The sequence below is a fragment of the Homo sapiens genome, chromosome 1 (assembly GCF_000001405.40).
Source record: "Homo sapiens chromosome 1, GRCh38.p14 Primary Assembly".
NCBI lineage: Eukaryota > Metazoa > Chordata > Mammalia > Primates > Hominidae > Homo > Homo sapiens.
In genome coordinates, this window is record NC_000001.11 from 25699849 (window position 1) to 25726574 (window position 26726).

Here is a 26726-nt window from a genome sequence, read left to right on the forward strand (position 1 = left end):
GTGGGAGCCAGGGCTTCACTTCCCGCTGCCACTCGGGGCCTCTGAGGCAGGCAGATCTGTTTCCAAGCTCCACAGACAGCTGTTCTCCCAAGCATAAACGGTCAGCATGAGAACTATGCAGGGATCAATAGGAATTGTTGAAAAATTCTGAAAAGAGAGCCCGGAGGAAGACAAAGAGCCCCGGAAGTATGTTGTCAGCACAATTTGGTGCTAATACTCAAGTTTGTTTTTCTTTTCATCAAAGTCTGAAAGGCAGTTGGAAATCCACTGCCCTTGTTTTTTTGTTGTTGTTTTTGTTTTTAATGACTGGATAAAGCACAATTGCATTTTCTCCCCCAATAACTTTGAATTCTGGGAATAGACCATGTAGGGATAACTGCTGCTGTCTAATCCCTCCAATGGCTGCGCAAATATTTAGGACCCGGAGGAGAGGAGTCACCCTGGCTCCCTGCCTTCCTTCTAGCACGCAGGGCATGGCTCCCAGATAATGCTCCTCTTGAAATAGCACTTGCCCAGAAATGCATCTGGAGATTGTTTTGCAACAAGAAACTGACAGTGCTTGGGGACATGGAGAATTTATTTGAATAATTTCTTCAGTTTCTGCAAGTTTGTCCTGAGGACCTTCTCTCTACCAGGCTGGGAGCTGGGAGCAGAGTTGGGCAGAGGATGTGAAAATGAGCAGAACACAGTGGGCTCCTCGGAGAGAAGACACAGGCCATCCCCCTGTGCTACCAGACATGATGCCGGCCTAAGGAACACATCTATGAGAAAGCGGGCATTTAAGAAGAGAGGCTTGTCATACTCCTCGAACTCTTTAAGTGTCTTCATAAAGTTCCCCACAGTTCAGTGCCAGGGAATCACACAGATACTAGAATTTGAATGGAGGCTGGGAGGAGGTAGGCTGGGGTGGTAGATTTTGACAGACATCAGTAAATTTCTCTGTGACAGGTCGGGGGACAGGCCAGGCCAAGCGTAGGAGGCCCTGCTGGGCAGTGTTGGTGCTGCAGATGGGGTTGGGGTGGGAGGCGGGGAATGCAGGCTTGGAAGGAAGAGGCCTCTTGGGGCATTCGGCACCAGCCAGGCACCCCCCAGATGGCTGTCTGCACAGGGCTGACTTCGCCATTAGGCTTGGCGCCTAGGGCCCACAAAAATGTTTTCATTTTAATTTCTTTTAAAATCCGAGGAGAAAAAGCGAACATGATAATGAAGCCAGCCTGGATTATATCCATCTTTATGCCAATGCAGTTGTCAAGGATCATTTTAATATTCGTTTATGGAGGAAGGGGCGGCAAAGGCACCATTGCCGGGACCAGAGGAGTCATTGTGCAGCCCTGCCCTTGGTCCTTGGCTTCCTCCCCAGCCCAGGGGCCTGAAAGCCTGCACCTGCTCAGGCACCATGGGAAGGGTCCCTTTGCATTGTTGTCACAAAAGCTGGCAAATAAACCCACTGAGAACTCGAGTTCTAGTGCTGGGCAGGAAGGGCATAGCCATGGGTGCCCACCGGCTAGTGCAGACCCCTTCCTGTGAGTTTCATGTGTTGCTTACAGTAACTCTGAAGTGGGTGTCATTCTGATGAGGAAACTGAGGCTGAAAGGGAGGTGACTTGCTCAGGCCTGCACACCTGGCAAAGAGGTGTGCAGCAGGTCACAGCCAGGCTTGTCTGCCTCCAACGCCCACATTCCCTGTTTCCTCTGCCTCAGGGACTGGGAACTGCCCAACAGGCAGGACCTCCTATTCAACTTACCTTGTGCAGCAACACATGGTATTGGCCCAGGTGGCACTTTTTGGGGTATTTGGAGATGATAAACAGCAAAACAGGGTCTGTGTGTGTGCCATTGATTCAAAGGGCGTGCGATGTGCCTCTGTTGACCCTATTCATCTTCACCCTTGTGTCCCTCCTCCCTTGTTAGGCTTTAAAAATAAAGCCATGATTTGGAGCAGTGGCTCACGCCTGCAATCCCGGCACTTTGGGAGGCCCAGGCGGGTGGATCACTTGAGGTCAGGAGTTCAAGACCAGCCTGGCCAACATGGAGAAACCTTAACTCTGCTAAAAATACAAAAATCAGCCGGGCGTGGTGGTGCACACCTGTAATCCCAGCTACTTTGGAGGCTGAGGCAGGAGAATCGCTTGAACCTGAGAGGCAGAGGTTGCAGTGAGCCTAGATCTCACCGCGGCACTCCAGCCTGGGTGACAGAGCTAGATGCTGTCTCAAAAAATAAATAAGTAAATAAAAGTAAAGCCAAATTAGTTAGTTACATCCCCCAAACCAAGAAGGATAAAATCCCAAACACCCGAGAGGAGGCTAATGCATGACGATCGCCGGCCTAAGAGGATGTCCCCGTGGGGCTGCTTAGAAAGAACTTGAGCACCCAGATGGACCAGGGCAAGCCGCTTCTCATTCTTAGCCAGAGCTGACAGCAGGGCCCACATCGCCCCTGGCAGTGTGGCTTCATCCGAAGGGCCTTGAATTCCCAGGACATGAAACTCGCCCAGATCCAGATGTAAGTACAAAAGTGGGTCCCACAGTCAGTGGAGAGGCACGCTCCCTGGGCTCTCCCAGGCTCTGAGGGTCGGGGCTGCAGCTCTTCCTTCTCCTCCAAGGAGCAAAGCCAGGCAGCTCCTCAGGGCCCATCCCCCCAAAACATACCAGAGTCTACAGCTCAACTCACTGAAATGGGGAGGAAGCAAAACCCTGGAGGGAGGATCCCAGGGATTTGAAGCAGTTAAACAGAAGCACAGGCTTTGGCACCAGGGGGCCTGGTTCACCATTTTCTGGCTGTGTGACCTGGGGCAAGTGAATTCACCTTTCTGTGCCTCAATTTCTTCTGGAAAAATAGGAATTATAGTACCTACCTCATAGGGTAGTTGTGAAAATCCAATTAGTTAATACACTGTGAAGGGCTTAAAGTAGTACCAATAAATAGCAGTGGCTGTCATCATGATTACCATTATCTTTACCATTAGTATTGTCAAAGCTGCCCAGGGAAGCAGGAGAGTTGGGTGGCATCTTTGCGTGCCAGTGACTGCCTATGTAGCGTTGGACAAATCACTTTCCTCACCCTTCCCTGGGACTCAGACTCTGTGAATTGAACAGTTTGGATGAATTTGTGCTGCTCTTCGCCAGGAGGAAGCATCAGAATTGCCTGCAGGGCTTTTGCAAATGTAGACTTCCATGTTCCGTCTCCAGAAATTCTGGTTCATTGGGTCTGGAGCTGGCCCAGGGATCTGCATTAAAAATAGCATCTCTGTTGATGGTTCTGATGCACAACCCAGGTTGGGAGCCACAGTTAACCGGGTTAGGATCCTGAAGTGATTGGTCCCCTTCCCTCACTCCCATTAGCTCAGGTGGTGTTTTAGCAAAGGGGAAGCTCCTGCCCTCTCTGTGGGTGCTGAGGCTGTTGCCTGGGTGGGGGTCCCACTTTACTAGGTGTGGCAGGTCACCAGTTCCACAGGAAGCAGTGGTGGCTGGAGAACAGCCCTGAGGCGTGAGTGGAGCCGGCACATCTAGGAGTTTTCATTCAGCTGATGTTTGGTGAAAGTGGGATCTGTAGGCTGGGCGCGGTGGCTCACACCTGTAATCCCAGCATTTTGGGAGGCCAAGGCAGGCAGATCACCTGAGGTCGGGAGTTCGAGACCAGCCTGACCAACATGGAGAAACCCCATCTCTACTAAAAATACAAAATTAGCCAGGTGTGGTGGTGCATGTCCGTAATCCCAGCTACTCAGGAGGCTGAGGCAAGAGAATTGCTTGAACTTAGGAAGTGGAGGTTGCAGTGAGCCGAGATCGTGCCATTGCACTCCAGCCTGGGCAACAAGAGCGAAACTCTGTCTAAAAAAAAAGAAATGAAAGTGGGATCTGCAGATGGGAGGAGAACAACTGTGAAAATGAGGTGTCCTCTGGCCATGTGATGCCTGGGGGCTAATCCTACCTTCAAGGTATCACAGGAGATTCTCCTCACTGCTTCTGAAGTGTGATTGAAAGGGGCTGAGGTGTGGATGGATGTCAGCCCTGCTTTCCTTCATGGCCACCCAGAAGCTTTTGGATGCTTTGGGTAGGACAAACCTCCAAGGAGCTTTTGGGTCACAAAGGGCCCACCTTCTTGGGCACTGGCGGGATCTGTCTGCCCAGTTCCTGGTTGCCCAAGCCCATCCCATCATCCAGCCTGCCCACAGACGCCCCTGCCACATGCTTCTGGCTGCCTGTCCCTTCATCCCGGCTCCTGTCTCTCCTCGTCTCCCTGATCAATAGCAACCAGCCAGGAAAGCAGTCCCGCAGTGTTTCAGGCCCACTCCTTTAATCTCTCCCGAGGCTGAGAACAGCCTCTTTCTAGCCACCCAGCCCCTTTATTAAACTTCCTTCCTGCCCCCAGTCCTGCTGCTGCCTTTGTGAGGTAAGTTGGACTTGTGTTTCTGTCTTTGGAGAACAGCTCTGCAATAGAAATGGCTTCCTGAAGGCAGGAGCTGCCTCTGAGCTGCCTCCAAGCCAGCCTGGGGCCTGCAGTACAGATGCTGGGAATGGGCGGCCGACAGAACCAAGCCATATCCTATCCTTAGACCCAATCCCAGACAGCAGGACCATGTGGCTCCCAATGTGGAGATAAGAGGGAAGCAGTAGCGACATCTGGGCATCACTTGGCAGCGTGGCTTTGGCTGCTCAGCACGTGCTTGCTAGAGAATCCCTGATGGCTGTTATGGCTTACACATTTAACCACTTCCCTTTGGTACATGTGTAGAGGTGCTGGGTAAGCATCTTGTCAACTTTAACACAGCTGACAAAGTTATGACACCAAGAATGCTTAGACTTTGCAGTTTTCCCCGAACTCCGGCTGATCCTGTTAAAATGTCTCTCCTTACAGAGAGCTGATTTGTGCCCCCAAATTTTCTCATCTCAGCAGGCAGGGTCTCTTTGCCAGAAAAAAGAAAAATCTGTTGTCATCCAGATACTCTGATTTAGCATTATCTGAGAGGAAGGCATGTTTCCTATCTGGTTTGTTGCTGATTTTCCAGTTGGTTTCCGTGGGACGGAGCCATGGAGAAGGATGCAGGAGGATAGCTGGAGACACTTGCATTTTTAAGCTCCTCTCCTCCAATGCAAAGCCTTAAAATGCGTGGGATTTTCCCTCTTGTTAAGGCTGCAGTCTTCATGCCTCTTCTCAGTTGGAGAGTGATAAAGTTTGAACAAATCCCTTTATTTATGTTGGAAGTATCTGAGTGTGAAAATCCTTTTCTGCCCTTAAAATTACTCGATCCGTTTTTTTCTCTTTTTTAAATGATCAGTTTAATACATGCCCATTATAGTGAAATTAGAAATTACAAACAAGAACCAGAAGGAAAAGTTGCTGAAGTTCCACTACCGTGTATCCCTGCAGATGCGTTCCCATACAGATGAACAGATATAAATCTGTATTTTGAAAAAAAGGAAGAAAGGAAAGAGAAGATATGTATTTCTGCATACACAGAATCATTTGATAAATGCCGTCTTGTGACCTGCAGTTTCACTTTTCAGTATTTTGGGATCTTCTGAAGCTGTCAGATGGTAAACACCTGAAGTGTCATAGTCGATGGCTGTCCAGTATTCTATCACATGGATGGACTGTTGTTATATAGTCTATTATATTGCATTTACTGGACATTTAGGTTATTTCTGATTTTGGGCCAATCTAAGCACTGGTGAGATGAGTGTCTTAATTTGGGTCACTAATCTTTACACATTTGCCTTAGTGTTGTCTTAGGATAAGTTTTTAGAACAGGACTAGCTAACATTTTCAAGCATTTACCACGTGCCACTCTGCTAAGGGCTTTAAGTATATTATCAGTCAGGCATGGTGGCTCACGCCTGTAATACCAACACTTTAGGAGGCCAAGGCAGGAGGATCATTTGAGGCCAGGAGACCTGGAAAGTCTACGACTTAGGGAGACCCTGTCTCTACAAGAAATTTAAAAATTGGCTGGGTATGGTGGCACATGCCAGTAGTCCTAGGTATTCAAGAGGCTAAGGTGGAAGGATCACTTGAGCCCAGGAGTTTGAGGCTGCAGTGAACTATGATTGCATCACTGCACTCCAGCCTCGGTGACAGAGCAAGACCCTATGTCAGATAAATAAATAAATAAATAATCTATTGAATCTTACACATGATTCTATACAGAAATATCCACATTTTACAGATAAGGAAACTGAGTCATGGAGAGGTTGGGTACCTTGTTTGGGGTCACACAGCTGGCAAACTGCAGAGCCAGTATTGGAACCCAAGCTCTCTGACCCCAGAAGCTTCTGATGCAAAAGGTTAGGTCTGTTTAGCCTTGCTGCATGGTATAAGGATGCCTGTCCCTTGCTTCCTCTCTTCCAGCTCTTTACCCTGTGGTCTCCTGGAGTCCTCTCACACCCACACTTGCATAACAGGAACAGGGAAGGAAGAATCGGCAGTGTTTGTGCCATGCCTGAAGGATCACAAAGCATTGTCCCACATGACCCAGATGTGCATCTAGCACCCCTTCCTGGATTCTCAGTCCCTGGGAGGTACCTTCTAGGGAACCATCCAGAGACGGGAACATGTGGCCACTGGAGACCTGCCTTAGGGGAGTTGTGGGCGTGTTGGTCGGGGCTCAGCCAAGTTGTGCTGGGAGAGTCTGTGCTCTCCCTAGACCAGGTTCTTTACAGAGACTGGACTCTGGCGGGGGGGAATCCTTGCAGGCCATTCTAGGGAGAGTTGGACATGCGCAGGGCAGCCTGGGAGTCTGAGTCCTCAGCAGAGAGTGTTCTGGGAAAAGAAGAATGCTGAGTGAGATACAATGCTAGACAGGGGATGTGGGTGATTTACTTGGTGAGAATGCCCCTAGACTGGGCAAATCTAAGGCCAGGGCCCTGAAGCGGGCCACCTGTTTTGCACAGACTACTCACCTGCAAGCACTTAAGACAGGCTTGTGGCCCAGAGGTAAGAGCAGAGCCCTCCTCTCATGACCCTACTAGGCCTGGCTGTTTGTCAGTGGCTCTGTCCTTTGGGGATAATCAGAGTTCCAGCTGCCTGTGCCATGGGGAACAGGGTGTGGCTGGTTCCAGTACACAGGCAGAATAGGGCATACCATCTCCAAGCAGCAGGGGCTGTAGGATTCCCACCTTAGTTGCCTTGCAGGGAATGTCTTGGTCCAGCAGAAGAGACAGAATGGGGAGGGCTTGCCCTCCACTTGGCCCAGTTATCTCTTCCCGATTTATCCATAGATTGAGCTTGATGATCCAGACTCATATTCATTCAACTAATCACATGAGTTATTTCTGCAATTTGGGTCTTCAAATAAGTACACTTGGTTGCTGAATATGTGATCAGCCACAGATTTCTTATTCTTTAAAACTCAGGGAGCGGAAATGCCAACGTATAAAGCCATCAGCACGAGGCAGAGATTTCCAAAGCACTAAAATCACACCATTCAAAGTGCTGGCCCCTGGACTTACCGTCAAGCTGCCACTTGGCCCATCAGTGCTCTGTGCAGAGCCCAGGTAGGGGGGCTTTATCTGTAAAACCCAGGGAGGAAGGCAATCAATACGTAATCTTTTCACATTCTTTTTACTTAACAAGAGAATTGGTTTGCCTCTGAAGTAACTTGATCTGGAGGAGAAAATGCATTTGAGGGCTTTTAAAGGGTGCAGACCAACTGGGAAAGGCTACTTCAGGCCTTGAGGTTGGGAAGGTCAGCTTCTGTTCTGCTCTGAGCTTTGCTGTAACCTTGAACAACTTCGCCTCTTCCTCCTTATCATCAGGGTCCCTGGTACAATGAACCAGCCACTGGACAGGACTTACCATTCATTCATTTGTTCATTCAGTGAGCCACTGTTGAACCGCTACAGAAATCCAAGTAGTGGATTAGGCCCTGGAGATTTCAGAGATAAACCCGACCTGGATCTGCATTTACATTGCTTGTAATTGTCAAATGGAAGACAGCTGCAAACAGTTAAGATGCAGGCGTGGGAAACAAATATTGGGAGTAGAAAGGAAGGGCCTGTAGCCTCTGTTTAGTCACTCTATGAGGAACTGCCTGGGGCAAGGATTGTGGCTTCTGTTCCTATCTGGGGGAGGCTGGGATGGACCCCCAGGATGGACCCTGTCAGAAGTCATGAACTGGCTGTAGGAGAGCAGCTGTTTGCTCCTTTTGTTCCCAGAAAGGGGTCCCAATCCAGATCCCATGAGAAAGTTCATTGGACCTTACACAAGAAAGAATTTGGGGCGAGTCCATAAAGTGAAAGTAAGTTTATTGAGAAAGTAAAGGAATAAAGAATGGCTACTCCATAGGCAGAACAGCAGCCTGGGCTGCTTGACTGAATATACTTACAGTTATTTCTTGACCATATGCTAAACAAGGGATGGATTATTCATGAGTTTTCCAGGGAAGGGGTGGGCAATTCCCTGAACTGAGGGTTCCTCCCTTTTTTAGACCATATATGGTAACTTCCTGATGTTGCCATGGCATTTATAAATAGTCATGGCGCTGGTGGGAGTGCCTTTTAGCATGCTAATATATTATAATTAGTGCCTAATGAGCAATGAGGACAATGGGAGGTCACTTTCATCACCATCTTGGTTTTTGTGGGCTTTGGCCAGCTTCTTTACCATAGCCTGTTTTATCAGCAAGGTCTTTGTGACCTGTATCTTCAGCTACCCCCGCCCATCTCATCCTGTGACTAAGAATGCCTAACCTCCTGGGAATGCAGCCCAGTAGGTCTCAGCTTCATTTTACCCAGTCCCTATTCAAGATGGAGTTGCAGCCAGGCACAGTGGCTCATGCCTGTAATCCCAGCACTTTGGGAGGCCGAGGCAGGCGGATCACCTGAGGTCAGGAGTTTGAGACCAGCCTGGGCAACGTGGAGAAATCCTGTCTCTACTGAAAATACAAAAATTAGTTGGGCAGTTGCTGCGCTCCTGTAATCCCAGCTACTTGGGAGACTGAGGCAGGAGAATCACTTGAACCTGGGAGGTGGAGGTTGCAGTGAGCTGAGATTGCACCACTGCACTCCAGCCTGGGCAACAAGAGCGAAACGCTGTCAAAAGAAGAAAAAAAAAAGCCACTGGCTTGGAAAGTATCTGAGAAAGTCCCTGGTAAATTTCATTCCACTCCAACTGGGGTCTTGGCACTTGCATTTTCCTGAGCCCAGCCCCAGGGACCGCAGGAATCCATACATCTGCAGGGATGAGACACAGCCGATGCCCACCGCCATGCAGAAGCCTAACACCTACTAGGCTGAAAGTCACCCCAGGGCACTAAGCCAGGGAGGGTTGAAGGGGGTGGAAGATCATCAGGGAGAGAGTAGGTTTTCCTATTTGAGAAGTGAAAGGCGGTATAGACGGCTGTCCTCCATGCCTTGGATTGTAGGTGGCATTTACTGCTCAAGGAGAAGGGACACTCAGAGACCTGATGCAGAACACGGAGGAGGCAGTAAGACCGGCTAAGCTAGGTGAGTTTAGGAAAGTCCAGCAGGGCCACCTACTTATTTTGCAGTCATAAAAACAGCAGCTCCAGGCCCTCAATGCTGGCATGTAGTAGGTACTCAATAAATGTCTGCAGAAGCAATGAATGAGTCCTGTCAAAAGTAACAGTACTGAATCAAACCAGTGTTCTGGGAGGCAGGCACGCAGATGTTTCTTGTCCACCCTAACTCTCCAGCTCCAAAGCCCATGCTCTTACCCAGGGCTCTGTGAGCCCTATTCAGTTGTGTTAATCAGATGTGGCTGCATTGCCTCCCCGCCGTCTTGGTTACAGTAAATGTCCTTTAAGTTGCAAGGGCCTGGGGTGGCAGGGGTAGAGGAATGCATGAAGATTCCTCACCAATGCCTGATACTGTCAGTCTTCGTAACGTTAGCCTTTCTAGCAGAAGGAAACTCTATCTATCTATCTATCTATCTATATTTATTTATTTTATTTTTTTGAGATGGAGTCTCACTCTTGTCGCCCAGACTGGAGTGCAGTGGCATAGTCTCGGCTCACTGCAACTTCTGCCTCCCGGGTTCAAGCGATTCTCCTGCCTCAGCCTCCCGAGTAGCTAGGATTACAGGCGCCCGCAACCACGCCCAGCTAATTTTTGTATTTTTAGTAGAGACAGGGTTTCACTGTGTTGGCCAGGCTGGTCTCGAACTCCTGACCTCAGGCGATCTGCCTGCCTTGGCCTCCCAAAGTGCTGGGATTACAGGCATGAGCCACTGAGCCCAGCTGGAAACACTATATTCTTGTTGAGCCCCTGGAAGTTTATTTATATACTCATTCTGCATTTTTGTTCAATCCATACTCTGCTAAGCACTGGAGAAAACAGAGGTGAGTAATCATTGCTGTTCTCCCACTGGCATGGGTCAGACAGCTGGGGTGGGAATCCTGCTCTGCCACTTCCTAGATTTATTGACCTTGGGTAAATTAATCTCACTGAGCCTCTGTTTCCACATCTGTAAGATGGGGTTGGTACCTCAAACAAGTGTTGAGAAGATGAACTGCAATGTCATATGTAAAAGCCTGGCCTGCCCAGGCATTCAGTAAATGTTCACTGTGCTTGTTGTTGTTCATTCATCTTGCCTGCTGGCTGACAAATGGTAACAGGCACCAAAGGTTTAAGAAAGCTGTGTCAGAACAGACCTTAATAATAATAGTTGCTAACATTTATTGAACATGTACTGTGTGCCAAGTGCTATTCTAAGTACCTTTTATAGATTACTATTAATATTAAAAATCCTATTGATTTCTGTAATTTTTTACAGAGTGGGGAAAGGCTACTATGGTTTGATTTTCATGGAAACACTTGGTTGTAAATTGCGGGGACCCAGTGGCTTTCTGGAAGCATGATTCTAGAACCTCAGAGGTAGCAGGATAGGAAATAGCGAGATAGACTTTCCCTTGTCGTGGCTGCTCAGTGACCTTCAAGTACCTGCTGCTGCCCTTTGTTCAGAACCTGAAGGCTGATGACTTAGTAAAGATGAAAACAATGAATTCTTAAAGAAAGGTCAAGGTTGAGTATAGTTGATGGGACCCTGGGTGAGTGGTTTCTTACTTGGACTCTTGCGTTGGCAGCTGTGGTCTTAGGGAAGGTCTCTCCCCTCTCTAGGCCTCGGGGTCCTCACTTGTTTGGAAGGCTGAACTCATTGTATCAACTAACGGTTGCTGTGTAACAAACCACCCTGAAACTTAATGGCTTAAACAAAGACCATTTATTATTTCTTGAGTCTGTGGGTCTTAGCTAGGCCAGGATTGGTCTAGGATGGCTTTGGTTAGATGACTCAGCTCTGTTCCATGTGGACCTGGACTTCTCTCATGGCAGAGATAGGGTCCAAAAGAACAGACAGAAGCACACAGTCTCTTAAGACCTAGGCTCAGAACTGGCACACAGTCACTTCCTCTGCATCCTGTTGGTCAGAGTAAGTTAATTGGCCAGCCTGGACACAAGGAGTGAAGAGAGAGACTCCATCTCTTGATGGGAACAACCGCTAAGTCTCATGGCCAAAGTCAGGGCTACAGGGAGAAGTAGGACACCAGGAACATTTTTGCCTTCTATCACACCAGACTCCTTCCCACTCAGACATCTCTAAAGTCAAATCGCTCATGGATGGGTCAGTGTGGGAGAAAGAAGTTGAATTCTCATCTCCTCAGGCCAAAGCTGGACATGCCTTTCCTGGGTTTGAGATAAATGGACCAGATACCTGGTCCCTGTTGGTGCTGAGCTCAGCTCCGTTTGATCAAAAGGACAGAACTAAAGGACATATTTTTATTGAAGCACTCATTCTGCATGTATTGAGCACCACTGTGTGCCAGGCCCTGCTCCCTGCGGCCCCGCCCCTCCTCCCTGCGGCCCCGCCCCTCCCCTGCGTGCTGCAAGCCTGCCCCGGGCCCCACTTCCTCCCCTCCTCCGTGGGTGCGCAGCCCAGGCCACTGCTTGTCTTGGTGGGAGGAAGTGATCAGTCTTTGCAAGCCGTGCTGTCCTGTGTGTGAAAGAGGATACTTTCTTTATTTTACTAAAAGATTCCTTTCATTCAGATCATGAGACAGAATTGGGAAATTTAAAAATTTGGTCTTTAAGAAGAGATGTGTAAACAGCTTTCAGGAATGTTTGTTTAAATGGACTCACAGTGAGTGTGTCAGGGAGCGCCATCCCTCTGCCCAGGCCCTGCTCATCCTGATGCAGACCACAGAGGAGGCGACAAGACCAGCTAAGCTGGGTGAGTTTAGGAAAGTCCAGCAGGGCCACCTACTTATTTTGCAGTCATAACAACAGCAGCTCCAGGCCCTCAATGTTGGCATATAGTAGGTGCTAAATAAATGTCTGCAGAAGTAATGAATGAATCTTGTGGAAAGTAACAGTACTGGATCAAACCAGCGTTCTGCTATGCTCGGCCGGCGTCTTGGCAGGGGAGCTCTTTTGTCTGGCTCCCCACGTCTAACCTCCAGTTATAGAAGACATTTTTGGGTGGTTTGCACATACTAACGTGCCCGTTAGGCACCTTGTTGATTTCACTTGCTGTAAAGCCCCTGGGGAAGCCCCTGGGTGGGCTGCTCTCAGGGAGGGTCTGGAGAGGAGATGGGCCACTTATGGAGCTTTCCACAGCAGCCCCAGCCTAGCAGAAGAAGTGAGTGAGCACATAGGCTCATGCTGGTAATCTGGGGCGGCTTCCTGGGAGAAGGGGCCTTGGCCTGTTGGGAGGGTTTGTAAAGGTGGCAGAAAGGTGAGCTATCCTGATGGTTCTAGCATGTTTAGAGGTCTTTGTGAAACTGCTTACCTGTCTTGAGTCCCTTCTCCTTGAGCAGTAAATGCCACCTACAATCCAAGGCATGGAGGACAGCCATTCAAACCGCCTTTCACTTCTCGAATAGGAAAACCTACTCTCTCCCTGATGATCTTCCACCCGCTTCAACCCTCCCTGGCTTAGTGCCCTGGGGTGACTTTCAGCCTAGTAGGTCTTAGGCTCCTGCATGGCGGTGGGCATCGGCTGTGTCTCATCCCTGCAGATCTGTGGATTCCCACGGTCCCTGGGGCTGGGCTCAGGAAAATGCAAGTGCCAAGACCCCAGCTGGAATGGAATGAAATTTACCAGGGACTTTCTCAGATACTTTCCAAGCCAGTGGCCTTTTGATATTGACTTGGGATTAAACTCCCCACTGCCTCAGATACTAGGATCATCTATGCAGTTGTCCAATATTTTATATTTTAGAAATACTTTGATATGAATCTTCTTGCATAATCCTTCTAACCTTACCCCTTTGAGGCTGGCCAGAGTTAGGAACTAGTCTTCCCATTTTCCCATTACAGATGGGGAAACTGAGGTCATTACAGATGAGGTAAATAACTTGCCTGGGGTCACACAGGCCTCCTGCCTGCCTCTCAGTCCAGTGCTCTTTCTACTATATGTCATGTCCTCTCATAATGAGGTGGGGGTGGGGAACAAGGAGATGGAGGGATGTGTTGGGTGCTTTTGTGTTACCACATTGCACCCTCATCACAGTCAGGTGAGATGGTGCCATACCCACTTTATAGATGAGGAAACAGACCCAGGTAAGCTGAGTGATTTGCCCAGCATAAGCATACCAAATGGCAAAGCAAAATTCATACGCAGGTTTTGAGTCTCCACAGCAGCAGGCAGAGACCTACTTTCTAGAAAGAGTTTATTAGGGTCCAGTCTAGTGGGTGAAACAGATAAGCAGGACACGACAGTGCACAATCTAGGCACAGGCTCTTGAAAGCAGCTCTCTGGAGGCTGGAACTATTTTGCTAGAGGTGTTTGGATGCTGCTGTCTAACCCGAGACATGGAGTTTATATAGGACTGTTGGGCCCTAAGCCTTCCTGATTCATATGAGGTCTGAAAAGAGGCCCATGGATGTGCCTCATCTCCGGCCTCTGTTCAGACTAGGGTACACAGACACATAAATCGTTATAATGCAGCCTGCACAGGTGATCAGAGGGCCATGGAGAAGGCATTCCTTGGGCTCAGTTTAACACAGCACCAGAGTTTGGACTTCGCTGGGCCCAGTGTCTGCTCTTTGCTGCCGGGAACCAAGGCTCCAGGTTCCTCATGCACTTGCAAGTGACTGGAGCTTCCGAGGGAGTTAAATCAACCTTCGTGTTTCCTGTAGCCCCTCCTCAAATAGACACACCAGCTGGCATTTTTCCTTAAATACCACTCATTTTTAAAAGGGGAAAAAAATGTTGGTGGCTTTGAAATAGATCACACTTTAAAATGCAGCGTAGCAGAGAGTCAGTTCAAATTATTCTCTTAATAGAGTTCTTCAGAGTGAGGAAGTGATGAGGGAACATAATCACTTCTTTTGTCATATGGGCGAAATCTGAGGACTGCGATTCATTTGTCTGCAAATGTGTCTCTTCGGTACAAATTGCAGCAAGCAATCCATTCCCAGGGTAAATGGTCTTTAATTAAAGTCAGTCAGTTGTCTTGGATGGTTAGGGGAGGAGAGGGGTTTGAAGCACAAACTAATACACACTTTTATCCCTTCAAAAATAAAAAAGAATATATTTCTAAGTGACATTGACTCCTTGATTTGATAATTAGGGAAAAGCTTTGTTTATAAGTAAAACTATTCTGGCTCTTATTCATGAATAAAAATGTTTGCAGTAAGGCCTCTGAGAAGCAGTAGAAGAATTTCTTTACCAACCCTGGTAAAAATGCATCCTCAAGCATTGATTTTTGTAGCTGAAGTGCATTATGTGTTCTGCATGAGCTTTTGAAAGCTTAGATAAATGAGGTGGCTCAGAAAGCAGATAAAAAAAAATGGGAGGAAATTATACCGATCCAAAAGAAGATAAATGTCCACTAATTCTCAGATTAACATTTTAGACTCCTGTGTTTTTATAGGGGAATTTTTGCAATGCTGATAATGTGAGATTGGTTTACAATGTCACATACCAGGTAGAATCAATGAAGCTTTGTTCGAGCTCTCAGAGTCAGCTACACTCTAAAGGAAGTGGAGTTAATGCCACAAGCTGGTGGTACCCTGGCTCCCACCTGTATTAAGTGCTAGCACTACACCTAAGATGACATATTTTAAGGGTGACATTGACCCTCAAGGTCAACTATGTTAGTCTGCACTCTCCAGTTTGCAAGATGCAAAAAAACTCAAGCCCATTTAAGTTCAATTTACTAGATCACTTGATTGAAAGTCACTAGGATTAGACTTCAGGCACAGCTTGATCCACGTCTCAAATGAAGACGGACACTCTGTTTATTTCTCTTCCCTGTGGCCTGTTTTCACTGTCTTCATTCTCAGGTTGTTCTTCCTTGATGTGAACAAGCTGGTACAACAACTTTAGCCTGCCCAACCTGTGTCTGGTGCAGAAGAGCTAGTGCCACTCTGTTTCAGTTTAAGCCCAAAATTAGTGCTGGTGAGCTTTAATTGGGCCCATGGCTCTGCCTATCCCTAACTCATCCTCATGTCCAGAGGGATGAAAGGGCTGGACTGACCAAGGCCTAGGTCACATGATCATTCCCATTGCTGGGGTCAAGGCAGTTCTACCTCAAGCAGAACATGGACTAGGAGTTGGGAAGGAGGGGAGGTGTAGAAGGTGATTCAGGGACCCGTCAACTAGAGAAAGTATAGGTGGATGCTGGGCTGTGAAACCCTAGATTTCTGCCACATCAGCCTTTCACTCCTTCTCTCAACGAATACCTAAGCACTCACAACAGACTTTGTGGACCTAGGTGTGAAAGTTACTGTGGTGAACAGAAAGGTCCAGGCTCTGCCCTCAGAGAGCATCTAGCTGGTCTTGTGCCAGGGCTTGAACCATGCCATGGTCTTTCAGCTGACTAGATGTCTTTACTGAGCACCTACTATGTGCCAAGCCCTGGAAACAGAAAGATGAGGAAAGCCAGGGCCTCTCCCTTGAGCAGTATAGAGCAGAAGAACGATGGTGGTTTCAGGAGAGCCTGAGGCACTAAGGATGCTAGCACTTCACATCTTTCTCTGCTACTGTTCATTTTATCTGGTAGGATTGGATTCTGTTGGAACTCAGGAAACCCAAAATAGCAAGCCTTAACCAAATAGTTTATTTCTTTTTCATTTACAGGTCCAGGTAGTTAGTCTAGGACTGGAGTAGCGACCCCACCATCGTCAGGGACTTAGGTTCCACTGTTTACCCTCAGTACTGGCTTCCACCTTACGGTCCAAAATTGCTGCTGTGGCTCCAGTCATCGTGTCCACATTCCAGCCAGCAGGAAGGGAAAAAGAGGAAGAGTAGAGAATGTCACTTCCCTTTAAACATATTTTTCCAGAAGTCACATGCAGCACTTCAACTGAATCCCATTGGCCAGAACTCAGTCATATGCCTACACGTAGCTGGAAGGGAGGCTGGGAAATGTAGTTTTTATTCCCATGGCCATGTGCTCAGCTAAAATTGTTGCTTCTGTTTCTATGGAAATTGAAGGAGAATGGATATTAGGGGCAACTAGCAGACTTGGCCATACTCAGATCTGCCTGACAGGTCCCTGCTCTTTCTTCTGTGTGTCTCTCAAATTTAGTTTTGTTCTTTTTGAGACAGGGTCTCACTCTGTCACCCAGGTTGGAGTACAGTGGCATGATCTCGGCTCACTGCAACCTCCACCTCCCAGGCTTAAGCCATCCTCCCACCTCAGCCTTCTGAGCAGCTGGGACCACAGGCACAACCTGGCTAATTGTTTTTGTGTTTTTAGTAGACACAGGATTCTGCCGTGTTGCCCAAGCTGTTCTCGAATTCCTAAGCTTGAGCAATCCGCCCACCTTGGCCTCCCAAACAGGCATAAGCCACTGTGCCCGGCCCTCAAATTCAGTTTTAAAGACCAGGCTTACAGACTGCCTTCCTTTATGGAGCCTCCTGGGTTTTAATCCCAATTGGAATCAATAGCTTTACCCTTTCTAAATTTTTAAATCCACTGTATTAAAGTTTAATTTAATGCAATAAAATGTATTTCAACACCACTAAAATCAAGGTACTGAACATTTTTATATCTAAAAGTTTCCTCAGGCCCCTTTGCCATTCATCCTTCCTCAGCTTCTGGCCTAGGCAATCACCAATCTGCTGTCACTCTAAATTAGCCTGAGCCTTCTAGAGTTCCTTAGAATCACACAGTGTGTATTCTTGTGTCTGGTTCCTTCACTCATCAGGTTTTTGGGGTTCCTCCATGGTGTTTTGTCTGTCCATAGTTGCTCCTGTGTATTGTCGAGTAGTATTCCGTCATATGGATATGCTATGGTTTATTTTTTCCATTTGGCAATTGATTTGTTTCCAGTTTGAGGCTATTAAAAATAATGCCGCTTTGAACATTCACAAGCAGTTTTCATGTGGATGTATGTGTTCATTTTTCTTAGGTATATACCCAAAAGTGGAATTGTTGGGTCATATGTTAAATTTATTAACTTTGTAAGAATTTGCTGGTTGGGCACAGTGGCTCACACCTGTAATCCCAGCACTTTGGGAGGCTGAGGTGGGTGGATCACTTGAGCCCAGCAGTTCAAGAGCAGCTTGGTCAACATGGCGAAACCCTGTCTTTACAAAAAAAAGAAAAAATTATATATATATAGCTGGGCATGGTGGTGCATGCCTGTAGCCCCAGCTACTCAGTAAGCTGAGGCAGGAGGATTACCTGAGCCCAGGGAGGTCAAGGCTGCTGTGATCTGTGATCATACTACTGCGGTCCAACCTAGGCAACAGAGTGAGACCCTGTTTCAAAAACAGAGAATTTGCCAAATTGTCTTTTTCAAAGCAGATGTACCATTTTCCTTTTTTTTTTTTTTTTTGAGATGGAGTTTCTCTCTTGTTGCCCAGGCTGGAGTGCAGTGGCGCAATCTCGGCTCACTGCAGCCTCCGCCTCCCGGGTTCAAGCGATTCTCCTCCTGAGTAGCTGGGATTACAGGCATGTGCCACCACCCTGGCTAGTTTTGTATTTTTAGTAGAGATGGGGTTTCTCCATGTTGGTCAGGCTAGTCTTGAACTCCCAACCTCAGGTGATCTGCCCACCTTGGCCTCCCAAAGTGCTGGGATTACAGGCATGAGCCACCATGCTCGGCCCCATTTTCCGTTCTTACCAGCAGTGTGTGAGAGTTCTAGTTGTTCCATTTCCTCACCAACACTTGGTAAAATCAGTCTTTTTCTTTTTAAGGCTGTTCTAGTAGATGTGTGTTGATATCACACTATAGCTTTATTTACACACACACACACACACACACACACATAGCCATTCCCCCATTCTTTCCATTATAGTTACATCAAAATATTGGTTGTTCGGGGTGTAACTTCCTATGGCTGTGTACACACTCTTCATGGCTGATTCTCATATAGTATGATTTCCTTCCCTTTCCTAAGTAACTGTTTGTTTTCTGTAGAGTTAATAATCGTCGTGTTTGTTTGATGCTTAGTTTGTCACATGTTTATCACTTCTTAACTCCATGGTCCCCACTACCTGTGTAAACCTCCTCACAGTGTGTCCCAGCGCATTAGGTGGTACGTCAGCTTCATCCTCTTGAAGACGTCTCTCCTGGAGGCTTCTGACCTGTCTTGTTCTGGACAGTTGACTCTCTGCCTGCTGCACAGCTGCTGTCCCTGGGATATTTTTACCTCTCTCTTATTCATTTTGTTTTTAAATAATTTTGTTGACACATAATTTACATTGCCATAAAAGGTTGCCAATTGTAATGTACTATTCAGTAGGTTTCAGTATATTTACAGCATTGTATAAACATCATCAGAATGTTTCCATCACCTAAAAAGAAACTTTGTGCCCATCACAGTCGCTTCCCATTTCCACTGCCATCCCCAGGCAGCCAGTAATCCTCCCTCAGTCTCTATATATTTGCCTTTTTTGGATGTTTCATAAAAATGGAAGCAAAAACCTGTGGTCTTTTGTATCTGACTTCTTTCACTGAGCATAAGTTTTTTAAGGTTCATCCACATTGTAGCATGCATCAGTATTTCATTTCTTTACATTGATGAATAATTCATTATAAATCTACCACATCTTATTTATTCATTTATCAGTTGATGGACATTTGGGTTGTTTCCACTTTTTGGCTACTATGAATAATGCTGCTATGAACATTGTGTACAGACTTTTCTATGAACATATGTTTTTATTTCTCTTGGGACCTCTACATTGAATTTTCTGAAGAACTGCCAAATTGTTTTCTAAAGAGGCTGCACCATTTTACATTCCTATCAGTAATATATGAGGTTTCCATTTTCTCTATATCTTTCCAATGCTTATTATTATTATTATTATTATTATTATTATTATTATTGAGACGGAGTTTTGCTCTTGTCGCCCAGGCTGGACTGCAGTGGCGCGATCTTGGCTGTCTGCAACCTCCACCTCCTGGGTTCAAGTTATTCTCTTGCCTCAGCCTCCCGAGTAGCTGGGACTACAGGTGCACGCCCCCATGCCCGGCTTATTTTTGTGTTTTTAGTAGAGAGGGGGCTTCGCCATGTTGGCCAGGCTGGTCTCAAACTCCTGAACTCAGGTGATCCGCCCGCCTCAGCCTCCCAAAGTGCTGGGATTACAGGCATGAGCCACTGTGCCCAGCCCCAATACTTATTATTTTTTATCTTTTATTTATTTATTTATTTATTTATTTATTTATTTATTTATTTATTTATTGAGATAGGGTCTCTCTGTGCTCAGGCTGGAGTGCAGTAGCATCATTTTAGCTCACTGCAGCCTCGAACTCCTGGTTTCAAGCAATCCTCCCACCTCAGCCTCCTGAGTAGCTGGAACTACAGGCACATGCCACCTTTCCCGGTTAGTTATTTTTAAGTTTTTTATAGAGACAGGGTTTCACAATGTTACCCAGGCTGGTCTTGAACTCCTTGCCTCAAGTGATCCTCCTGCCTTGGCCTCCCAAAGTGCTGGGATTATAGGTGTCAGTCACTACACCTGACCTACATTTTTATTATTGCCATTCTAGTGGGTGGAAAGTGATATCTCATTGTTATTTTGTTTGTTTGTTTGTTTGTTTGAGACAGTTTCACTCTGTCACCTAGGCTGGAATAGAGTGGCGCAATCCTGGCTTAGTGCAACCTCCGCCTCCCAGGTTCAAGCGATTCTCCTGCCCCAGCCTCCTGAGTAGCTGGTATTACAGGCACCCACCACCATACCTGGCTAATTTTTGTGTTTTTAGTAGAGACAGAGTTTTGCCATGTTGGCCAGGCTGATCTCAAACTCCAGACCTCAAGTGATCCACCTGCCTCAGCCTCCCAGAGTGCTGGGATTACTGGCACGAGCCACAGTGCCTGGCCTCGTAGTGGTTTTGATTTGCATTTCCCTAATGTCTAATGATGTTAAACATCTTTTCATGTGCTTTTTCATCCTTTGTGTGTTGTCTTTAGAGAAATGTATATTCAAATATATATTCAAATCCTTTTTTTTTTTCTTAATTTTTTTCAAGACAAAGTCTCACTCTGTTGCCCAGGCTGGAGTGCAGTGGTGCAATCTCGGCTCACTGCAACCTCCACCTCCCGAGTTCAAGTGATTCTCCTGCCTCAGCCTCCAAGTAGCCAGGATTACAGGCACGCACCGCCATGCCCGGCTAATTTTTGTATTTTTAGTAGAGATGGGGTTTTGCCACGTTGGCCAGGCTGGTCTTGAACTTCGGACCTCTGGTGATCCACCCACCTCGGCCTCCCAAAGTGCTGAGATTACAGGTGTGAACCACCACACCCAGCTGCCCATATTTTAATTGGGTAGTTTATTGTTGAGCTGTAGAAGTTCTCCGTTTGTTCTGGATACCAGTTCTCTATGGGACATATGATTTGCAAGTATTCTCTTCCATTCTGTGGGTTATCTTTTCTCTTTCTTGATGGAATAGTTTTCAGCACCAAAGTTTTTAGTTTGATGTAGTCCAGTGTATCGATTTTTTTCTTTTGTTACTTGTACTTTTGACGTCTAAGAATCCATTGCCTTACCCAAGGTCATGAACATAATTCCTGTGTTTTCTTCTAGAAGTGTTATAGTTTTAGCTATTACTTTTAGGCCATGACTCATTTCGAGTTTATTTGGGGTTGTGGTGTGAGGTAGGACTCCAGCTTCATTCTTTTGCATGTGGATATCCAATTGTTCCAGCACAATTTTTTGAAAAGACTGTTCTTTTCCGATTGAGTTGTCTTAGCATCCTTGTCAAAACTTAGTTGAGCATAGTATCAGGTATTATTTCTGGACTCTCGATTTCATTGATCTATGTCTATTTTTATGCCAGTATCACACTGTCTTGATTATTGTAGCTTTGTAGTTTTTAAAACACGAAATGTGAGTACTCCATCTTTGTTCTTTTTCAAGGTTGTTTGGCCTATTCTGGGTCCCTTATATTTATTTCCATATGAATTTTTTTTACAAGGTTCTTGCTGTGCTGCCCAGGCTTGTCTCAAACTCCTAGCTTCAAGCAATCCTTCATTCTTAGCCCCCCAGAGTGCTGCGATTACAGGTGTAATCTCAGTTTCCATATTAATTTTGGGATCAGCTTGTCAACTTCTGCGAAAAAGCCAGTTGGGATTTTGATAGGGATTACACTGAATTTATAGATCAATTTGAGGAATATTGCCATTTTAATAATACTAAGTTTTCCGGTTCATGAATATGAAATGTCTTTCCATTTATTTAGATCTTCTTTAATTTCCCTCAACAATATTTTATAGTTTAGAGTATACAAATTTTGCAATTATTTTGTTAAATTTATACCTAAGTATTTTATTCCTTTTTGATGCTTTGTAAATGGAATTGTCTTCTTAATTTCCATTTTGGAATGTTCATTGCTAGTATATAAAATTACAATTGATGTATCCTACAACCTTGCTGAACTCATTCATCAGTTGTAATGGTGTTTTAGTAGATTCCGTAGGATTTTTCATTTACAAGATGTGTCATCTGCAAACAGATCGTTTTACTTCCTTCTTTCTAATATGGATGCCTTTTATTTCTCTCTCTTGCCCAGTTGCTCTGTTTAGAACCTCCATTACAAGGTTAAATAGAAGTGGATATCCTTGTTTATTCCTGATCCTGGGGGAAAGCTTTTGGCCTTTCCCCATAAGTGTGATGTGAGCTGTGAATCTCTCTCATTTTCCATCCCCTATTTGCTGGTTCCTTTGTCTCTTTCTTGGTCAGCACCATCCAGTAGCTTCCTGGAAAAGTGTGCATAGGGGAGGGGTAAAATATTTGAGATTTTTGAAAACTGAAACTCTATTCTACTCTCACGCTTAATCGATAATTAGGCTGAATAAAGAATTATAAGATGGAAGTCATTTTCCCTCTGAATTTTGAAACTGATCCATTGCTTCTAGCTTCCGACATTCCGGATGAGAAACCTGATGCCATTTTGATATCTCGTCATTTGTATGTGAACTGTCTTTTCCCTGGAAGCTTATAGGGCGTACTCTTTGTCCTCAATGTTCTGAAATTTCATGACGATATACCTCAGTGTAGGTCTCTTTTCATTCATTGTGCTGGGAAATTAATGGACCTTCTCAGTCTAGAAATCCATGCCTTCAGTTCTGGGACACCTTGAATGATTTCTTTGATTATTTCCTTCCACCGATTTTTCTGTTTCTGGAATTCCTACATTTTTTAGTTAGATCCCTGAGCTGGTCCTCCAATTTATCTTCTGTTTTCTATCTGTCTCTTCATTTTTGGTTCTACTCTACAAAATTTCCTCAAGTTTGTCTTCCAACTCTTTTATTGAGTTTGCATTTCTGCTGTCAGACTGTGTATTTATTTCCAAGAGCTCCATTTTATTTTGTGAATGTTCTTTTGTTGAGCATTCTGTTCTTGTCTCACAGACGCACCATTTTCTTTAGTCTCTGATGATATTTTGTTTTTGAAGTTTTCTTCTTCCTGCAGAGTCTCTGTGTCCTTCCAGTTACCTTTCCTGTTTGTGTATTTGTCCATCTCTCGTGTTAGGTTTCCCTTAAATGTTTGTGGCTCCTTGGCTGTGTCTTCAAGTTAAATGTGGGGCAGAAGAGAAGATGGTTGTGGATCTGTGTGGTGAGTGGGCTCTGCTGACTGATAATCCCAGTAGGATAATCCAATGGGAACTCAATATAGGTGTTTGTTCTCTAGAGCTAGTCTGGTTCTGCATAGAAAATGTTTTCATTCTCCTACCTAGCAAATGGACTCCTGATCACAGCCTTCTGATTGTGACCTGTCTTTTCTGTGGAAGCTTGTAGGGCGTACTCTTTGTCCTCAATGTTTCATGACATATATACCTCAGTGTAGTATTTCATGACAATATACCTCAGTGTAGGTCTCTTTTCATTCACTGTGCCGGGAAATTAATGGACCTTCTGAGATCCATGTGGGCAAGAGGGCAAAGGTGGGCAATCCAAAAATCTTCACTTACCGCCTCTGCTCCCAGGATGGCACCCTGTGCCTCAGCCAGGCATCAAGAGGCCCTCTGTCGTACTCCTTTCTGAGACTCTGCCTCTGGTTTTCTGCTGGGATGAGAGGAAACATTTTCTTGGCAGAAGTAGGAAGAGAATCTAGGGATCTTACTGCCTTTAGGCTGACTTGCAACAAGCCCTCCTCTTATTTCACTTCCAGAGATACCTGGTGTTGCCACCAATCCCAGAGCCTTTGGGGTTTTCTAGCACAAACCTGAGTGCCTGTTTGCTTGCATCATCATGGCTTAGGGTTCGGCTTTCTTGGCTTTGCTGAGTCAGCACTCCACATCTCTTTCCCAGCTGCCAAACTTTGTTACTATCATCTTCTTCCCTGGTTGTTCTATCTTTGTGGATTGATGCATTATTTAAAAAATTATACCGTTGTCTTAGTGGAGTTTCTGGGTGGAAATAGGGCTAGTGCATTCATTGAACTCACAATCTTTAACCACGATCTCTGGCTCTTCTGTTGGGTTCCCTGAGCCTCAACATCATCATCTGTAGAGTGGGACAAAAGATCCCTTTCCTGATGTCTGCCCAGGAGACTTTGTGAAGATTAGATGGGTTTTTGCATAAAGATTTACCATTCAAACAGCGGGATGTATGACTGTCTGTTCTAAGTGGTGCTTGGACTAAAGGATTGAGGGGTACCCTCTAGAGGCTGGGACTGGAGAAAAGGCCAGCCTGGGCTGCGGGATACTGTATCAGTTACAAACAACCACAGACCTCACTGGCATGCAGCAATAAGTGTTTAGGTAACTCAGGAGTCTTCAGAGTTCACCTGATCCAGGCTGGGCAGGCCAAACGACTGCCTACCTTTTTTTTTTTTTTTTTTTGAAACAGAGTTTTGCTCTTGTTGCCCAGGCTGGAGTGCAGTGGCACAATCTCGGCTCGCTGCAACCTCCGCCTCCCGGGTTCAAGCGATTCTCCTGCCTCAGCCTCCAGAGTAGCTGAGACTACAGGTGCACGCCACCACGCCCGGCTAATTTTTGTATTTTTAATAGAGATGGGGTTTCACCTTGTTGGCCAAGATGTTCTCGATCTCCTGATCTTGTGATCCGCCCACCTGGCCTCCCAAAGTCCTGGGATTACAGGCATGAGCCATCACGCCTAGCCTATGACTGCAGATCTTGACTGGGCTCACCCTTGTGCCTGGGGGCAGCTGACTGTCGGATGATCTAAGAGATCCTTGGCTTGGACAACTGGGCCAACTGAGCTCTGTTCCACGCATCTCTGCATCTCAGCTCTAGTTCATATGTATTCCCATGGAGGTGGCAAAAGGACAAGAAAGCAAGCAGAAACATGCAAGTGCTTTTTCAAGCCTCTGCGTGTGTCACATTTGCTCTCATTGGCTGAAGTTAGCCACACGTGTCTGAGCCCAGAGGAAGAGAGTGGGGAGAGGCATCCTACTCAGTGCAAAGGACATGAATGCAGGAAGGGGTAAGGAATTGGGACCATTGGTGCAAACTCTACCATGAGTGTCTAGGCATGGCTCCGGAACAGAGCACACCCCAGCCTCGATTATTTTCCTGCAAACACAGAATATTTTGCCTAAACAAGGAACCTGGGGTTCTGCCACCCTGATTTGCATTCAGTTAAAAGAGCTAATCCTTTACTTGCTACTGGAAGAAATGCTGCCCATCTCTAAAACAATCAGACATGATCTCTCTGATAGAGTAGTACACTCTCCAGGCCCAGGCTGGAGCTGTAGATCACAGGCAACCGATGAAATTTGCTTAATTATTTGATTCAATCAGAAGTTGGCTTAATTATTTTCTTGCTCTCACCTCTTTTGAATCCATTCTGGAAACTGATTATGTCTATAACACCAACCCAGAGATAAGCATTTCAATTGGGAAATGTAATTAGCCAAGGAAAATGAATGTGGGAGCTGCCTTTTGTCAAAGCACCATTAAAACCCAGCTCTGGTCAATACCAATGTGGTGTGAAGACAAAAGGCTCAGTTTGCTCCTCTTGTGACTGGAGAGGGAAGGCCCAGCAGGAGGTGGGAAAATAGGTATCTTGGGATCTTAGCAAAAGGAAGCTCATTAATTCATTCATTCAGAGGCTTTTCTAGGCCAGCTCTGGGATGGATGCTAGAGATGCAAAGGTGCACTGGCCACGTCCCTTGCCTCGAAAGAGTTCTCTTCTTAGAGGAGGGATTCACACGTAATTATGTGGTCAAAGTGCTACGGGAATACAGAGGAAGGAGCCACTGATTCTGCCTCTGGGAACTTCACAGAGCAGGTTACGTTGAGCTGGGCTTTGAAGAATAAGCTGGAGTCTCCCAGGTGAGGAGGGCATTCTAGGTAAAGGGCACAGCACGTGCAAGGGCATGGTGGCGTGAGAGTACAGGAGTACTTGTTAGGGGTCCACTAGAGCAAGCCTGCTGAGGGCTTCTTGGGTTATCCTAGCTCCTCCTAGAATAAAGTGTCCTTGGGCCATCCCACCTCAACTTTTCAGTGCCTGGGGATCCTGCCTCGCCTCCCACTTTGCCCTCTAGATGGCATTATTAAGGATTCTCTCCCAGTGTTTGTTTTAATGGAAGTCGAAGGCGTGTGGCATTTGAGGGAGACTGCGCCATCTGAAAGCCGGGGGCTGGGTTCAAGGCACCTGAGAACAACAGATGCACATGGTAGAGCTGAAGAATGAGAGGGTGCTCGGGGCAGAAGGTCCATCCTGGGCTGAGGCTCAGCGGTACGGCATGCTGAGCTGAGTGTGGCTGTGGCATGAAATGAAAGGTGAGGCTTTCATCTGAGTGAGCTGCCCAGCTGGGCATGGGCTGGATCACAAAGGGCCATTTACAGGCCATTGCAGACCAGCTCCTTGGCCTTGGCCTCTATGATGGGGGACTCTCTTAACACTGCTCCGACTGTAGCCCCTCTCCTGCAAGTCTTCACTTCTTCAAAAGAGGTCAGTGCTCAGAGCAGTGGTCTCTGGTTTGCTTGGATCTCTGCCTAAGGCAGAGCTTGTCTGGAATGCAGTGAGGTGGAGAGGTTATCTGACCAGGTGGCTCCTGCACCTGGGGAAAGGGAAAGGGAGGGAGGACCACCACGACCACGGTCTCCAGGGCCACGGCAAGGTAGACCCACCAAACCTCTGCCCAACTCGTTCCTATTTACCTTAACCCTTAGCCATCCTTACAAGGAAGAATTCAGCCAAGAGTGACCAGGCACTAATAGAAGCTGCCAGGCCCTGCCTCCCTCTGAGACACACAGCCACTGACTACCAGATCCCATCCAATGTCATCCATGTACACACACTTCGTAATGGGGTGTGGTGACCAGCATGTGTGCATTTTATACCCTGCTTTTTTGCTTGGTAGGATCTTGAAGCCTCATCATCTGCCTTCCCCAGGTGGGCCC

The 26726-nt window shown here is 46.5% G+C and overlaps 1 protein-coding gene across 6 annotated transcripts in view, besides 9 other annotated features; it reads left to right on the top strand.

Annotated features, from left to right (window-relative positions):
* Window positions 1-26726, top strand: part of MAN1C1 (mannosidase alpha class 1C member 1) — a 167660-nt gene that overhangs the window by 83058 nt on the left and 57876 nt on the right. The gene's annotated exons all lie outside the window — the stretch shown is intronic.
* Window positions 3671-4171: an enhancer, noted in NCBI's record as "H3K27ac hESC enhancer chr1:26030010-26030510 (GRCh37/hg19 assembly coordinates)". NCBI's record gives its function as "activates a minimal SCP1, AML or CMV promoter by ChIP-STARR-seq in naive H9 embryonic stem cells {active_cell/tissue: H9 hESC(naive)}" and the evidence as "EXISTENCE:reporter gene assay evidence [ECO:0000049][PMID:30033119]".
* Window positions 4172-4672: an enhancer, noted in NCBI's record as "H3K27ac hESC enhancer chr1:26030511-26031011 (GRCh37/hg19 assembly coordinates)". NCBI's record gives its function as "activates a minimal SCP1, AML or CMV promoter by ChIP-STARR-seq in naive H9 embryonic stem cells {active_cell/tissue: H9 hESC(naive)}" and the evidence as "EXISTENCE:reporter gene assay evidence [ECO:0000049][PMID:30033119]".
* Window positions 5798-6773: an enhancer, noted in NCBI's record as "H3K27ac-H3K4me1 hESC enhancer chr1:26032137-26033112 (GRCh37/hg19 assembly coordinates)". NCBI's record gives its function as "activates a minimal SCP1, AML or CMV promoter by ChIP-STARR-seq in naive H9 embryonic stem cells {active_cell/tissue: H9 hESC(naive)}" and the evidence as "EXISTENCE:reporter gene assay evidence [ECO:0000049][PMID:30033119]".
* Window positions 6774-7749: an enhancer, noted in NCBI's record as "OCT4-NANOG-H3K27ac-H3K4me1 hESC enhancer chr1:26033113-26034088 (GRCh37/hg19 assembly coordinates)". NCBI's record gives its function as "activates a minimal SCP1, AML or CMV promoter by ChIP-STARR-seq in naive H9 embryonic stem cells {active_cell/tissue: H9 hESC(naive)}" and the evidence as "EXISTENCE:reporter gene assay evidence [ECO:0000049][PMID:30033119]".
* Window positions 7750-8725: an enhancer, noted in NCBI's record as "OCT4-NANOG-H3K27ac-H3K4me1 hESC enhancer chr1:26034089-26035064 (GRCh37/hg19 assembly coordinates)". NCBI's record gives its function as "activates a minimal SCP1, AML or CMV promoter by ChIP-STARR-seq in naive H9 embryonic stem cells {active_cell/tissue: H9 hESC(naive)}" and the evidence as "EXISTENCE:reporter gene assay evidence [ECO:0000049][PMID:30033119]".
* Window positions 8726-9701: an enhancer, noted in NCBI's record as "NANOG-H3K27ac-H3K4me1 hESC enhancer chr1:26035065-26036040 (GRCh37/hg19 assembly coordinates)". NCBI's record gives its function as "activates a minimal SCP1, AML or CMV promoter by ChIP-STARR-seq in naive H9 embryonic stem cells {active_cell/tissue: H9 hESC(naive)}" and the evidence as "EXISTENCE:reporter gene assay evidence [ECO:0000049][PMID:30033119]".
* Window positions 23516-23716: a silencer, noted in NCBI's record as "peak132 fragment used in MPRA reporter construct". NCBI's record gives its function as "represses an SCP1 promoter by STARR-seq MPRAs in K562 erythroleukemia cells {active_cell/tissue: K562}" and the evidence as "EXISTENCE:reporter gene assay evidence [ECO:0000049][PMID:32103011]".
* Window positions 24348-24848: an enhancer, noted in NCBI's record as "H3K4me1 hESC enhancer chr1:26050687-26051187 (GRCh37/hg19 assembly coordinates)". NCBI's record gives its function as "activates a minimal SCP1, AML or CMV promoter by ChIP-STARR-seq in primed H9 embryonic stem cells {active_cell/tissue: H9 hESC(primed)}" and the evidence as "EXISTENCE:reporter gene assay evidence [ECO:0000049][PMID:30033119]".
* Window positions 24934-25577: an enhancer, noted in NCBI's record as "NANOG hESC enhancer chr1:26051273-26051916 (GRCh37/hg19 assembly coordinates)". NCBI's record gives its function as "activates a minimal SCP1, AML or CMV promoter by ChIP-STARR-seq in naive H9 embryonic stem cells {active_cell/tissue: H9 hESC(naive)}" and the evidence as "EXISTENCE:reporter gene assay evidence [ECO:0000049][PMID:30033119]".